At 50.2% G+C, this 15120-nt stretch overlaps 1 protein-coding gene across 8 annotated transcripts in view, besides 1 other annotated feature; it reads right to left on the reverse strand.

The window, feature by feature from the left end:
• Positions 1–15120, reverse strand: part of RANBP10 (RAN binding protein 10) — an 83491-nt gene that overhangs the window by 19642 nt on the left and 48729 nt on the right. For 6 of the 8 annotated variants that reach the window (NM_001320238.2, NM_020850.3, NM_001410883.1 and 3 more), the window contains one exon: positions 1577–1744. The exons of 1 other annotated variant lie outside the window; for it this stretch is intronic. In NM_001320238.2, the coding sequence (NP_001307167.1) occupies positions 1577–1744 (168 nt within the window). Of the gene's footprint in view, positions 1–1433; positions 1515–1576; positions 1745–15120 lie in introns of those variants that run through there. One more of the 8 variants, XM_011523247.4, reaches the window with a different exon arrangement.
• Positions 7682–7731: an enhancer, noted in NCBI's record as "active region_10982". NCBI's record gives its function as "activates an Ori minimal core promoter by ATAC-STARR-seq in GM12878 lymphoblastoid cells {active_cell/tissue: GM12878}" and the evidence as "EXISTENCE:reporter gene assay evidence [ECO:0000049][PMID:35858748]".

The raw sequence follows: 15120 nt of genomic DNA on the forward strand, positions 1-15120 counted from the left end.
CAAGCTGGAGGGATGTGAGGAAGGCAGCTATACAAGGGGGCAGGTGAAGTGGGGCTTGGATACAGGGTGAGAGCCCACAATAGTGGCCCCTGGGACTTTGACAGCAGAACCCAGAGCCAAGAAATAGCGGAATCAGAGTGCAGAGTGGAGAGTGAAGAGCTGTCTTGAGGCCCTGGCCCACCCTCTATCCACTAGCTCCTCACCATCTGGTCACTAGCAACTGCAGCCAGGTGGTCATCAATTTCAGAGGAGGGTTTCTCTGATGTGCACCTAGGTCAGCTTAGCAGTGTCCGTGCTATGTTCTCGGCTGCCTAGCTACCAAGGCTTTCCTGCCAACTCTTGGCTGGGGCATCCAGTTGCAGGAATGCTGGCTCCTAGGCATGCAGCCCCAGCCATCAGCACTCCAATTCCCACTCAGGTCCCCTGATACTAGCTGTGCTCATCTCCTGGAGAAGTCATAGAGGGGATGTGGAGAGTTGCAGCCACCTTTTTACTGACCCTCAAGGCAAGGGAAATGGGACTTCTAGGAGTTGGGTTCCAAGCAAAATGCCCAACTCCCTTTCCTGGCAGAGCTGCTGGCAGCTGGGCTGGTAGAGTTCTGCCAGTCCTCTCCTCACTATACCATTCCATTCTGGAGAACTAGGGTGTGTAGATCGGGGACTTCTGCAAACCCAGGCAGGCAGACCAGGCTGTTAGTCACCACCTCAGGGCCAATGTGGCCAAATACCAGTTAGCACCTGGTAGGCACGGCATCAGAATAGCCAAAGTCTCTTCCTCTCAAGCCCTAATCCTAAATGTCTACGCATGTACAGGAACGCTCCTTCCAGGGATCCCACGGGCCCCATCCTCTTCCACTGATTGCTATTTCTCCTGGGTTTCTTCTCCTGGTTAACAACAGTACTAATCCAGCCATTTTCTCACCTTTCCTTCTTGCAAGTGCACCCCATCTGTCACCAAGCCCTGCAGGGCCACATCTGGGCCTTTGTCCTGCACCCATCCCCACTGCCTTACCTCAGGCCATCTGCCTCTTCCCCTGGTCTTTACTCTGGTCCATCCTTCATGGTTTCACCAGAAGCCTTTTTCAATGTAACTGCCCCGGCTGCTGCTCATTCACCAAGAACAGACCAGAGGTCTGGCCCTATCTGACTCCCACCTGTCTGTTTACCTCCTGGACTAGTGCCACCCTCACTGCTGCTCCACAGCAACCAGCACCAAAGTCTGGGCCAGGTCACAGGCACGCAAACCACCACCACGCAACCTATGCAAGGGTTCCCCAAACTTCTCATCCAACGCCAAACCTTGCTCCAACAAGTGCCACCAAAGCCAAGATCACGACCAGGATACTGCTGTACTCTCAGCATCCTCCCTGGGCTGGATAAACGCAGCTGACTGGCTGGATGAACAAAGGCGTGCCCCTGCTACCCTCTATTCACCTGAAAGGGCTCCAATGCCTGGAAATGGTGCGGTACCCCAGAGCTCAGCAGAGGCGACACTGCCTTGAGCACTTGCCCCTGAGCCTCTCACCAACCAAAGTGGCTCCACAGAGCAGAGCCTCCAAGGTCCCTTATGCACACACCAAGGCTGTGGCCATTCTTGGTGTAGAAGCAGGTGCCATTGATGAGGTTGACACAGCAGCCGATCACGTCTCCTGTGGTGAATGTGGGACCATAGGGCTGGCCAGTCCCCGAGGAGCAGAACGAATGCCCATCATCACCATGGTAACCATAGGAATGTTTGTCCCAACCTGTGGGGGAAGAGAGCAGCAATAACTGAGTAGGTACTTGAGGGAGGAACAAGACAAGTCACAGAAGCCCACCCAGGTCTCTCAGCCTCTCCTCAGCCTGCCCCACCTCTGTCAGCACTCTTGGCTTCTAGCAGAGCCACCAATAGACAGAGTCTGGCTGTGAGTCCAGCAGGTGACTGCCAAAGTAGCTGATGTAGCCCCACAGAGGAATGATCCCATGCTGCGGTTAACAGGAACCAAAACCATCAGTGACCCGGAAGGAACATACCAGAGGGTGGTACAACAAGGAGGTGGTCAAGGGAAGCCTTGTGAAGGAGTGGGAGCTGGAAGTAACCTTGGAAGTGTATCTGGCAGGTTGTTTAAAATGTTTTTTTTGTTTGTTTGTTTTGAGACGGAGTCTCGCTGTCATCCATGCTGGAGTGCAATGGTGTGATCTCAGCTCACTGCAAGCCCCGCCTCCCGGGTTCACGCCATTCTCCTGCCTCAGCCTCCAGAGTAGCTGGGACTACAGGCGCCTGCCACAACGCCCGGCTAATTTTTTTTTTTTTGTATTTTTAGTAGAGACGGTGTTTCACCATGTTAGCCAGGATGGTCTCAATCTCCTGACCTCGTGATCCGCCCGCCTCAGCCTCCCAAAGTGCTGGCATTACAGGAGTGAGCCACCGTGCCCAGCCGATGCCCAGCTAATTTTTTTGTATTTTTAGTAGAGAGGGGGTTTCACCGTGTTAGCCAGGATGGTCTCGATCTCCTGACCTCATGATCCGCCTGCCTTGGCCTCCCAAAGTCCTGGGATTACAGGTGTGAGCCACCGTGCCTGGCCTAAAATGTATTTTATATTGAGGATTAGTTTACATATAGTAAGATTCTCTCTTTTATTTTTATTTATCTATTTTTTTTGAGACAGAGTCTCCCTCTGTCACCCAGGCTGGAGTGCAGTAGTGTGATCTTGGCTCACTGCAACCTCTGCCTCCCAGGTTCAAGTGATTCTCTTGCCTCAGCCTCTGGAGTAACTGGGATTACAGGTGTGCGCCACCATGCCCAGCTAATTTTTGTATTTTTAGTAGAGACGGGGTTTCAACATGTTGGCCAGGCTGGTCTTGAACTCCTGACCTCAGGTGATCCTCCAGCCTCGGCATCCCAAAATGTTAAGATTACAGGCGTGAGCCACCGTACCTGGCCGATTCTCCCTTTTAAACTGTACACTTCAAATGAGTTTTAACAAATGTATACAGTTGCATTACCACCACCACGATCAACACACAGAACATTTCCATCACTCTAAAGCTGAGCATGGTGGCTCATGCTTGTAATCCTAACACTTTGGGAGGCTAAGGTGGGAGGATCACTTGAGGTCAGGAGGTCAAGATCAGCCTGGGACAACATAGTGGGACCTCATCTCTATAAAAAATTTAAAAAACTGTCCAGGTGCGGTGGCTCACGTCTATAATCCCAGCACTTTGGGAGGCCGCAGTGGGTGGATCAACTGAGGTCGGGAGTTCAAGACAAGCCTGACCAACATGGAGAAATCCCGTCTCTACTAAAAATACAAAATTAGCCGGGCATGGTGGTGCATGCCTATAATCCCAGCTACTCAGGAGGCTGAGGCAGGAGAATCACGTGAACCCAGGAGGCGGAGGTTGCAGTGAGCCGAGATCGCGCCATTGCACTCCAGCCTGGGCAACAAGAGCGAAACTCTGTCTCAAAAAAATAAAAAATAAAGAAATTTTAAAAATGAGCCAGGTGTGGCTGGGCATGGTGGCTCGCACCTGTAATCCCAGCACTTTGGGAGGACGAGGCGAGCGGATCATGAGGTCAGGAGATCAAGACCATCCTGGCTAACACGGTGAAACCCCATCTCTACCAAAAATACAAAAAATTAGCCAGGCATGGTGGTGGATGCCTGTAGTCCCAGCTACTCAGGAGGCTGAGGCAGGAGAATGGCATGAACCTGGGAGGCAGAGCTTGCAGTGAGCCGAGATCGCGCCACTGAACTCCAGCCTGGGCGACACAGCAAGACTCCGTCTCAAAAATAATAATAATAATAAATTAGCCAAGTGTGGTGGCGCCTGCCTATAGTCCCAGCTACTTAGGAGGCTGAGGCAGGAGGATTATTTAAGCCCAGGAGTTCAAGGCTGCAGTGAGCTATGATCATGCCAGTGTACTTCAGCCTGGGCAACAAAGTGAGACCCTTTCTCCTCCAAAAAAAGTTCCCTCAGGCCTCTTGGGAGTCAATTTGTTCCATCCATTCCCAGTCCCCGGCAACACTAATCTGATGTGTTCCTATGGTTTTGCCTTTTCCAGAATTTCACATAAATGGAATCATAGAACATGAGGTGTCTTGCCTGGCTTCTTAGACTTAGCACAATGCATCTGCGATCCATCCATGTTGTTAGGAGAAGCAGTGTTCCATTCCTTTTTATTGCTGAGTAGTACTCCATGTTATGGATACACCCCAGTTTTTCTATCTGTTCATACACCAGTTGATGACATTTGAGTTGTTATAATTTTTAGCTATTATGAATAAAGCCAACAAATATTTGCTTTAAGGTATTTGCACAGACATATGTTTTCATTTCTCTTGGGTAAATACTTACAAGTGGTATTACTGGGTTATAAGATAAGTGTATGTTTAATTTGATAACAAACTGTCAAACTGTTTTCCAAAGTGGCTGTGCTATTTTGCATTCCAACCAGCAATGTATGAGTTCCATATCTTCTTCAGTATTTACTATTCTCAGTTTATTTTTTTTAATTTTGGCCTTTTAGTGTATATATAATGGTTTTAATATCATTGTGGTTTTAATATACATTTTCCCTATGACAAAATATACTGAGTATCTTTTCATGTACTCATTTGCCACCTATTTGTTGGAAAACTATTCAACTGTTTTTTCAAATTTTTAACTCATTTTTTATTGGGTCGTTTATTGTATTGCACTTGTTTATCGTATTGCACTGTAAAGGTTCTTGATGTAGTTTAGATACAAGTCCTTTTATGTTTTGTGAGTATTTCTTCCAGTCTATGGTTTATCATCATTTTTGTTTGTTTGTTTGTTTGTTTGGTGAGAAAGGGTCTCACACTCTCTCGTCCAGACTGGAATGCAGTGGCCCAATCTCAGCTCACCACAATCTCCACCTTCCAGGCTCAAGGGATTCTCCCACCTCAGACTTCCGAGTAGCTGGGATTACAGGCACGCGCCACTACCAGCAGGCTAATTTTTGTATTTTTAGCAGAGTCGGGGTTTCACCATGTTGGCCAGGCTGGTCTCGAACTCCTGACCTCAAATGATCCACCCGCCTCGGCCTCCCAAAGTGTTGGGATTATAGGCATGAGCCATGGCGCTTGGCCTCATTTTCTTTTCTTTTTTTTTTTTTTTTTTTTTAAGACGGAGTCTCACTCTGTCGCCCAGGCTGGAGTGCAGTTGCATGATCTCGGCTCACGGCAAGCTCCGCCTCCCAGGTTCACGCCATTCTCCCACGTCAGTCTCCCGAGTAGCTGGGACTACAGGCGCCCGCCACCATGCCTGGCTAATTTTGTTTTTGTATTTTTTAGTAGAGACGGGGTTTCACCATGTTAGCCAGGATGGTCTTGATCTCCTGACCTCACGATCCACCCACCTCAGCCTCCCAAAGGGCTGGGATTACAGGCGTGAGCCACTGCGCCCGGCCCTCATTTTCTTAATAATGCCTTTCGAAGGTGGGCTGTGATCGTTGACTGGGACTGTGTTGACTCTCTAGATCAATTTGGAGAGAATAGGTAGCTTAACAATACTAATTATTCTGGCCGGATGCAGTGGCTCAGGCCTATAATCCCAGCACTTTGGGAGGCCGAGGCAGGAGGACTGCTTGAGCCCAGGAGTTTAAGACCAGCCTAGCCAACATGGTGAAACCCTGTCTCTACCAAAAATACAAAAAAAATTAGCCGGGCGTGGTGGCGGGCGCCTGTAATCCCAACCACTCAGGAGGCTGAGGCAGGAGAATCGCTTAAACCCAGAAAGGCGGAGGTTGCAGAGAGCCAAGATCACGCCACTGCACTCCAGCCTGGGCAACAAGAGCGAAACTCCGTCTAAAAAAAAAAACAAAGTGCATGGTACTCAGGAAGGAAAAAATATATATATTACTATTATTTGTACAGATAGGGTCTTTCTATGTTGCCCAGGCTGGTCTCAAACTCCTGGCCTCAAGCAATTCTCCCACCTCTGCACCAAGGTGTTAGAAAAGGGGAGAGGGGAGTGAAAAAGGAAGGAGGATGTGCAGGCAAAGGCATGAGTACAGGTGGGGCAGGAGTGGTGGAGCTGCAGAAGGGTTCGACTGCCTGGCTAAGGAGTAGAAATGGAACCCACAGAGCCATGACAAGCCCAGGACCTGCACAGGCTGGGGAGGTGATGGGCTGACAGGCAGGTCTACTCCCCAGGCACCCCTCCAGGTAGCTTCCCCAGTGTCTGCCTGCTTCCTCCTTGGGGCCTAAGCAGCATACCATAGGAACATGCTTAAGCACATCCCTCTCCTCCCAAGTGGCATGGGTAGAGGCTCTCTCCTGAGTAGAGGATCTGAGTAGCCAGAAAGCAGGGCAAGGCTCAAACATTCACAGCACATGTTGTGTACGTGAATAGGCGAGGGCACAGGGTGTGGCCAGGCAGCAAGCAAAGGTGTGGGAATGAGAAAAGAAGGATAACAGGGCCAAGGGCTGACAAGAGAGGCAGAGAGTGTGACTGGAGAGGTGACACAGCCCAGACCCTGGAGCCTAAACTCAGCATTTAAATCAGCGAGCACAAAGGAAGTTGTCCCCTTGGTCACAGCACCCATCCCAAGCCTAGTGTACCCTGAGCTTTCACATCTTTTTATCCAGGAAGCCTCTATTTAAACAAAGATTCTCCAGCACCCACAGCGGGAAACAGGCCAAGACTGAACGGCTCTCAGAAACTGGTGGAGGCCCTCAGCCCTGCTGGTGCCTCCTGCATCTCCCCACCGCCATCACCAGGAAACCAGTGTGAGAGCTGCTTGAGACTGGCTTTAGGAGGGCCAAAGCCTCTACCTGGATCCAGGCTCTATTCTCACCTTCTGAATTCCCCAAAGACATTGGAACTGCCTGGCTCAGGGAACATGTTGCTGCTCTGAGCATCAACTCAGCTCCTAAGCTCACCAGGCCCAGCAGTGGGAGAGGCCTTTCTGTTTGCTAGTGGGTATGCAAATCATTTGACCTCAGAGAAATAGCTCTTTTGGGACAGAACAATGCCCATTCCCCACCAGAGGCAGGCTCATGAGGCCGTCACAGTCAAGGCCTTTTCTCAGGCATCAACTCGGGAGACACTATGGCTCCTGATGGCAGCGGCTGTTCCCCTGGTCTATAGCAGGCTATAGATGAGGGTGGCCAGCTGGACAGCAGTGAGGAGCAAAGTGAAAATCATCCCTCCAGGTCTAGCTCAGACTGTGGTGGCCCCAGGCATGCCCACCAGCTTGCCCTGACAGGATCCACAACCATGGGCCACACCAGCCACAATAGCCCTCCTCCTACCCCTGCCCCTCATCCCTCAGATAGAGCACAGGGATTTCCCACTGCAAGGCAGTAACTGACAACAATGTGGCAACCTGTTAGGAGGGCACCCATAACCCTGTGTGTTTGGCACAGCACAACAGATGTTGCCAGGGGTCTGGGATGCCAGGAGGTAAGGTGGGGCTCTCCTCAATGCTCCTTGACCTGCACAGCCCCCTAAAGCCAAGTCCACTGCTTATGTGGCCATGGGGGCACACCCCATCCAGCAAAGCCACTGCCCATTCCACCCTCCCCAAATAGTCTTTCAGGAAGGCTGCTTGCTGCTCCTCCAGGTCCTCTTAGAACTATGCCCAAGAACTAGTGGTATCCACTCTGTCCTCCCCTCTTGCCAGTGCATCATGATCCAGTTCAAATTCCTGCCTCCTGGAGTCTTTCATAACATCTTTTGGTTCTCCCCTTGCACACTGCCCATATCCCTGGTCCACTGCCTGGTGCCTACCAAACCTCTTCAATCACCAGTCACTGTTCCCGGGACTGTCCATGCCCCCTCCCCCAAGATCATGAGCTCCTTGGTACAGGGGCCAAATGATCTCAGGAAAGTTCCTCCAGTGCCCAGCATGTCAGGAGTCTGACAAGTGGTACAGGTGTGTGCACAAGCACATATGTGTGTTTATGTGCCACCAGTGACCAGCCCCAGCTGTCAGCCTGCCTCTTTCTCACACAAGGATGATCCTGTATGACAGATTTTTATGCAAATTTTACTGTCCAGGAGGTATAAGACATAAGCTGGAAGGTTTCCTTTTTTCACTTTCTTTTTTTTTTTTTTTTTTTTTTTGAGACGTAGTCTCACTCTGTTGCCCAGGCTGGAGTGCAGCGGCGCAATCTCGGCTCACTGCAAGCTCCGCCTCCCAGGTTCACGCCATTCTCCTGCCTTAGCCACCCAAGTAGCTGGGACTACAGGCACCCGCCACCACGCCTGGCTAATTTTTTGTATTTTTAGTAGAGACGGGGTTTCACTGTGTTAGCCAGGATGGTCTCGATCTCCTGATCTCGTGATCTGCCCGCCTCGGCCTCCCAAAGTGCTGGGATTACAGGCGTGAGCCACCACGCCCAGCCCCTTTTTTCACTTTCTCAGGTTAGAACAGTAGATACTCTAGAAAACCTAACAACAATTTGGTCATTTGATTTATGAAAGCTCATGAAATCACCAGGAAGAACCTACTTAGTCAGTGATTCAAGGATATTTGGGAGATATTTTTGTCTCAGTGTATGGGAGTTCAATATCCACTATGAAAACAACAGATGCTTAAATTTTCAAAGACCTAAAATTAAAATAAGTATTTTAAACACTTTTCTTTAAAAATAAACTATATAACTATTTTGACAAAACGAGCACAGAATTTTTAGATTTTGCCTGTAATCCCAAGCACTTGGGAGGATGAGGTGGGAGGATCACTTGTGGCCAGGAGTTTGAAACCAGCCTGGCCAACATGGTGAAATCCCATCTCCACTTAAAAATAGAAAACTTAGCTGGGTGTGGTAGCACATGCCTATAGTCCTAGCTACTTGGGAGGCTGAAGCATGAGAATCACTTGAACTGGGGAGGCGGAGATTGGAGTGACCTGAGATTGTGCCAATGCACTCAAGCCTGGGCAACAGAGCAAGATGTTGTCTCAAAAAAAAAGGCCAGGCTCAGTGGCTCACGCCTATAATCCCAGTACTTTGGGAGGCTGAGATGGGCAGACCACCTGAGGTCAGGAGTTTGAGACCAGCCTGGCCAACATGGAGAAACCTCATCTCTACTAAAAATACAAAAATTAGCTGGGCGTGGTGGCGTGCTCCTGTAATCCCAGCTACTCAGGAGGCTGAGGCAGGAGAATCGCTTGAACCTGGGAGGTGGAGATTGCAGTGAGCTGAAATCGCGCCACTTCACTCCGTCTCAAAAAGAAAAAAAAAAGAAAGAATTTAAAAATTTTTAACTCTGGCTATAAATATGGATTTTAAATTAAAACAAAAACCAAAGAGCTCAATTAAAAAAAAAAAAGAATCAATTCAGGATTCACCATCACCTCAGTTTGGCTAGAAAAGAGATAAGTTTTCTGCTTTTCCAATTCCCAAATGATTTATCAATTTTTACAGATTTTCCCAGAGGGGAAAAATACACAGTACCTGTTACAGGCCGGATAAGACCCCCACCCCAAAGATGTCCATGGTCTAATCCCCAGAACCTGTGACTATGTCACCTTTCATGGTAAAAAGGATTTTGCAGAAGTGATTAAGTTAAAGCCCTTGAAGTAGGGGATGACAGTGGATTATCCAGGTGGGCCAATGTAATCACAGGGTTCTTTATGAAATGGAAGATGCCTCACTGCTGGCTTTGAAGATGGAGGATGCAGCCATGAGTCAAGGAACACAGGAGGCCGCTAGAAGCTAGAAAAGGCAAGGAATGAATTCTCCCCTAGGGCCTCCAGAAAGAACGCAGCCCTGCCAATATCTGGATTTTAGAATTTCTGTTCTCCAGAACTGTAAAATGATTATTTCAAGCCAACATTGTTACAGTAGCAACAGGAAATCTGAACCTATTCTGGTAAGGGGTCTGCCATTACAGAGCTGTAATATATCTTCAACTGAAGCTATCAATATTTTTTTCCAGACACAATAAGTGTCTGTGTGTATATATAAGGTATATACCTTATATATATATATATTTACACAAGGATGTGTGCAAAAGGCAGTTGGAGGTTGAAAACAGAATGTTGCATACCTCATTTAGTATCACTGGCTGCTGCAGCAGCATGGTTTAAGGCCACCGTGTTGCCTTCACATCCTCTGGAAAGGACAAGCACTATCTGCTTGCCACCAAATAACTAACAAAGGCCTGCCCCAGGGAGTTTGCAAAGTGGGAGTAGGAAGTGTGAAAGGAATAAAGACAGGGAAAATGTAAATAAACAAATAGGAAAACAAGAAATACCTGGTAGATCAAGTATGCTCTAAAGAAAACAAGGCTGGGCTGGGTGCAGTGGCTCATGCCTATAATCCCAGCATTTTGAGAGGCCAAGGCAGGAGGATTGCTTCAGTCCAGGTGTTCGAGACCAGCCTGGGCAACATGGTGAGACCCCATACCTACAAAAAAATACAAAAACTAGCTGGGTGTGGCGGTGTGTACTTGTGGTCCCAGCTACACAGGAGGCTAAGTTGGGAAGATTGGATCATGCCACTGCACTCTAGCCTGGGAAACAGAGAGAAATCTCATCTTAAAAAAAAAAAAAAAAAAGGCTGTGTGCAGCGGCTTATGCCTGCAATCCCAGCACTTCGGGAGGCCAAGGCAAGTGGATCGCTTGAGCCCAGGAGTTTGAGACCATCCTGGACAACATGGTGACACCCCACCTCTACAAAAAATACAAAAAATTAGCCAGGCGCTGTGGTGCGCACCTGTAGTACTGCTGAGGAGGGAGGATCCCTTGAACCCAGGAGTTTGAGGTGGCAGTGAGCTATAATCGTGCTATTGCACTCCAGCCTGGGCAATAAAGATTCTATTTATAAAAGAAAAGAAAATGCAAAGCCAGATGATGGGCTAGCAATGGGAGGGGGGATGAGGACTGACTGGAATGGGGTAGTCAATTGAGTTCTTGCTGAGAGGGTGACTCCTGAGCAGAGGTCTGCTGGACAAGAGGAACAGAAGAAAAAACCTTCGGGGTAAAGGGTATGAACTCAGCATGTCTGAGAAACAGAAAAGCATCCAGTGGGGCTGGAGCTGAGCGAGACTTAGGAAAGACTCAGAGCAGAGTGGGCAGGACTCGCCAGGTGTGGGTGCAGCTAATGTGAGAGGAAAAAAGGATGGCATCCAGGTTTCTGGCCTGAGCAAACAAGTACATGGTGGCACCATTTATCAAGAGAAAAGGAGGCTGGTCGCGGTGGCTCATGCCTGTGATCCCAGCACTTTGGGAGGCTGAGGCAGGCGGATCATGAGGTCAGGAGATCGAGACCATCCTGGCTAACATGGTGAAACCCCGTCTCTACTAAAAAATACAAAAAATTAGCCAGCGTGGTGGCGGGCACCTGTAGTCCCAGTTACTCAGGAGGCTGAGGCAGGAGAATGGCGTGAACCGGGAGGCGGAGCTTGCAGTGAGCAGAGATCGCACCACTGCACTCCAGCCTGGGCGACAGAGCAAGAGTCCTTCTCAAAAAAAAAAAAAAAAAAGAGACAAGGAAGATGGGTGGAAGGAACAGGCCCTTCGGAAGTGCTAAGCTTGAGATGTCTTATTAGACATCCAAGTAGCCAGCGGCTGAACAAGGCAGGTAAGATGGTGGCAGGTCCAGGGACTTCGTGGCTCCTTCTCAGATGTAGAAAGTCCGTGATGGGGAACACTCATTAAACAGTGGTGTGGACAGAAAACTTTGAGTGAAGTCACTGGAGGATTTTCCTCCTGTGTTGTCCTGATACATACAATGGTTTTCTGTTTTTCCTTTGTGAGAAAGATTCAGGCTAGCTAAGGGCTACAAAGGACAGGACAAACATGCACCAAAGGCACCAGAAGCCCAAAGGAGTTGAGGAGATGATGGATTCAGTCATCCACCCCTTGTGAACCTGCTCCCCAGGCCTTGAGAAGTTGTACAGTGGAGAGGAACTGGCACTACACTGCCGTCTTGAGAAACTGGAAACCAGAAGGCCAGGGCTTAGCCCCGGCCCCATATTTTGCAGTGAGTCTGTTGTCAGCCTCAGGCTAGGATCCTCACACAGGCAGACTGGCCTCTGTTAGAAAGAGACTGTAGCCCTGGGTGCCAGGAAAGCCAGTGGGGCTGAAGTGCTTCTGCTCTCTGGTTCTGGCCACAGCACTGTTCTTCCCGTGATAGGCCCTGGCCAGTCACTCATCCTCAGACCTCGGACCCTGGTTCCCTTCTCTACAAAATGAGAGAAGAGGGAGTAGGCATGGTTGTCAAAGGGCCCTGGATGTCTACTTGTAGGAAACATTCTAAGACTCCAACCCACTTGCAGGTATAAATCCCATCAGAGGACAGAGGAAACTGAGGCACTAAGAGGCTGACTGGAGGCCTGTGGTCATGTAAATAACACTTCTCCCCTCCTCTGAGGGACACCCAGGGGAGCACCAAGCAGGTACTTGTGATGGTGAAGCCACCTCCTCCTTCCCGACCCAACCACCAAGCACCATGCCTAGGGTGCTGCCCTTCCCATTAAGGGGGGGTCCAGCAATTATGCCTGGGTGAGCAGCCCCTCCAGCCCCACCAACTTCTGCTTCAGAACTGGACAACCCTTTTCCCACTCCCACCCTGAAGCCAAAGTCAGCAACTTTCTAAACATGCACCCCTCCCTAGGTGGGTCTAGAGAGAGGATGGAGATGTGCCTAGAAGTGAGAGTTGTGACCTGCACTATGAGGCCAGAGATGGCTGTCTCAGAGGGGACTGGGATGTGAGGGCCAGAAAAGAACAAGTGGGCTGGGCACGGTGGCTCACACCTGTAATCCCAGCACTTTGGGAGGCCGAGGTGGGTGGATCACCTGAGGTCAGGAGTTCAAGACCAGCCTGGCCAAGATGGCGAAACCCCTTCTCTACTAAACATACAAAAATTAGCCGGGCATTGTGGTACATGCCTGTAATCCCAGCTGCTCGGAAGGCTGAGGCAGGAGAATTGCTTGAACCTGGGAGGCGGAGGTTGCAGTGAGCTAAGATCGCGCCACTGCACTCCAGCCCAGGCGACAGAATGAGACTCTGCCTCAAAAAAAAAAAAAAAAAAAAAAAAGGACAAGTGGACATGGCTGCTTGGGTCAGGCCCTGCAGGGAGATACATCCGGCTGGCTCTGGGTCAGAAGGATGCCTGAGGCCACATGATGGGGACAACACTCTGACAGAGAGGACCACCCAACTAACCATTCTTCTGTCTCCAAAGAGAATAAGCCTTGTCACTTGCCCAGAGAGAAGTGATGGGCAGTTAGCCTGGCACCCATACACAAAAGTCTATGCCCGGCCATGTCAGGTACTATGAAATGCCAGTGATGCAAGGAGAAACCAAGCCACATTTGAACCAGCAGGCAGGAGGCCCCAGGTGGCCAGTGCAGATGCTCTGGCACCACCCACTTCCCCCTGCATTGTCACTCAGACAGAAAGTCACAGTCACAGAAATGCCAGGGTGGCTGCAGAAATCATTTATCACCTTGGCACTCCCAGGTAACATCCCTGGACAGTGCCCTAGAGATGGAAGACTCCTGTAGGGTGCCAGGGACTCCAGCGTGACCGTTCCAGCAGCCCACCCATGCCACTACCATCTGCCAGGGCAGATCCAAGGCCTCAGTCCCAGGCAGTGAGGAATGGAGAACACTCCTACTGCTGAATGGAAAGATTTCCTCAGAAGCCGCAAGTTAGTCTGGAACCCTGCAAGGGGCTAGGGCTGTGCCTGACCACCAGGTTCTGGTCCTGGCCCACGGCTGACCAGGACACAGGGGCCAGCTACGTCTCCCTCACAAAGATAACCTGAGGCCAGGCGCGGTGACTCACGCCTGTAATCCCAGCACTTTGGGACGCTGAGGCGGGCGTTCAAGACCAGCCTGGCCAAAATGGTGAAACCTCGTCTCTACTAAAAATGTAACAATTAGCCAGGTATAGTGGTGGGTGCCTGTAATCCCAGCTACTTGGGAGGCTGAGTCAGGAGAATCGCTTGATGCCGGGAGGCAGAGGTTGCAGTAAGCCAAAATTGCACCACTGCACCCCAGGCTGGGCGAAAGAGTGAGACTCTGTCTCAGAAAAAAAACAAAAAACAAAACAAAAAACACCCCAAAAAGCTAGCCTGAGCACTGATCACCAAGCCAGTCATCTCTTCCCAACAAATGGGTCCCAGTCATCACTCACTGTGGGTCAGAAAGACTCGAGCTCGAATCCCAATTCTGTCACTTCTTAGCCCCCAAGTTCCCTTGGCTGAACCTCTCTCTCGGGGATGGCAGGAAGATTAAAAGAGAATGTGTGCCAGGCGCAGTGGCTCACGCCTGTTATCCCAGCACTTTGGGAGGCCGAGGTGGGCGGATCACCTGAGGTCGGGAGTTCGAGACCACCCTGACCAACATAGAGAAACCCCGTCTTAACTAAAAATATTTTAAAAATTGGCCGGGCGTGGTGGCGCGTGCCTGTAATCCCAGCTATTTGGGAGGCTGAGGCAGGAGAATCGCTTGAACCTGGGAGGCAGAGGTTGCGGTGAGCCAAGATGGCGCCATTGCACTCCAGTCTCACCAGGGAGATTCCCTTTCCTCACCATCTTAAACCCTGGCTCTGCAGTAGAGTCTGGGCACTTCACATGTTCTGCTCCCTTCTGCCCAAAGGGAGCGGGTAGGGGTGGAGCTGGTGACTAGCCCCTCTCCTAATGAATGGCCACCGACGGCAGCCCCAGACCTGCTCCATTCTTGTTTCTGGCCTCCTGGGGAAGCAATCTAACCCTTGCAGCGCCAGGCAGGGTTCAACAGCCATGCCCAGTGGCTCTCAGAATGTCACTCTTGAGGCTGGCTGTGGAGGGATGAGTGCTGCGCTGGCTTGGCCAGAGTGCTTCCTGAGCATGGGGCCGTGTCCAGGTACATTGCGGGACATCATGGCAGGGCTGCTCCACAAGGGTGGTCACTCACACAGAGCCATCACTCTCCAGAAATCCAGCAGACAGATGCTGTCCCCATAACCTCAACTATCTTAAAAAATCTGGCAGGACCCACGGCCTGGAGCAGCTCAACAATGGATAATGGGAAAGCAAAAGAGATTTTTTTTCATTCAGCAAATGCTGTGGGGTGGCATCAGAGAACACCGCTGTCACAGCACTCCCATGGCTGTTCCCCTGAGCTTTTAGAACCAAGGAACAGGACCAATGCAACCATAAGGTGATGCCTCTGGC

Source organism: Homo sapiens, chromosome 16 (assembly GCF_000001405.40).
Source record: "Homo sapiens chromosome 16, GRCh38.p14 Primary Assembly".
NCBI lineage: Eukaryota > Metazoa > Chordata > Mammalia > Primates > Hominidae > Homo > Homo sapiens.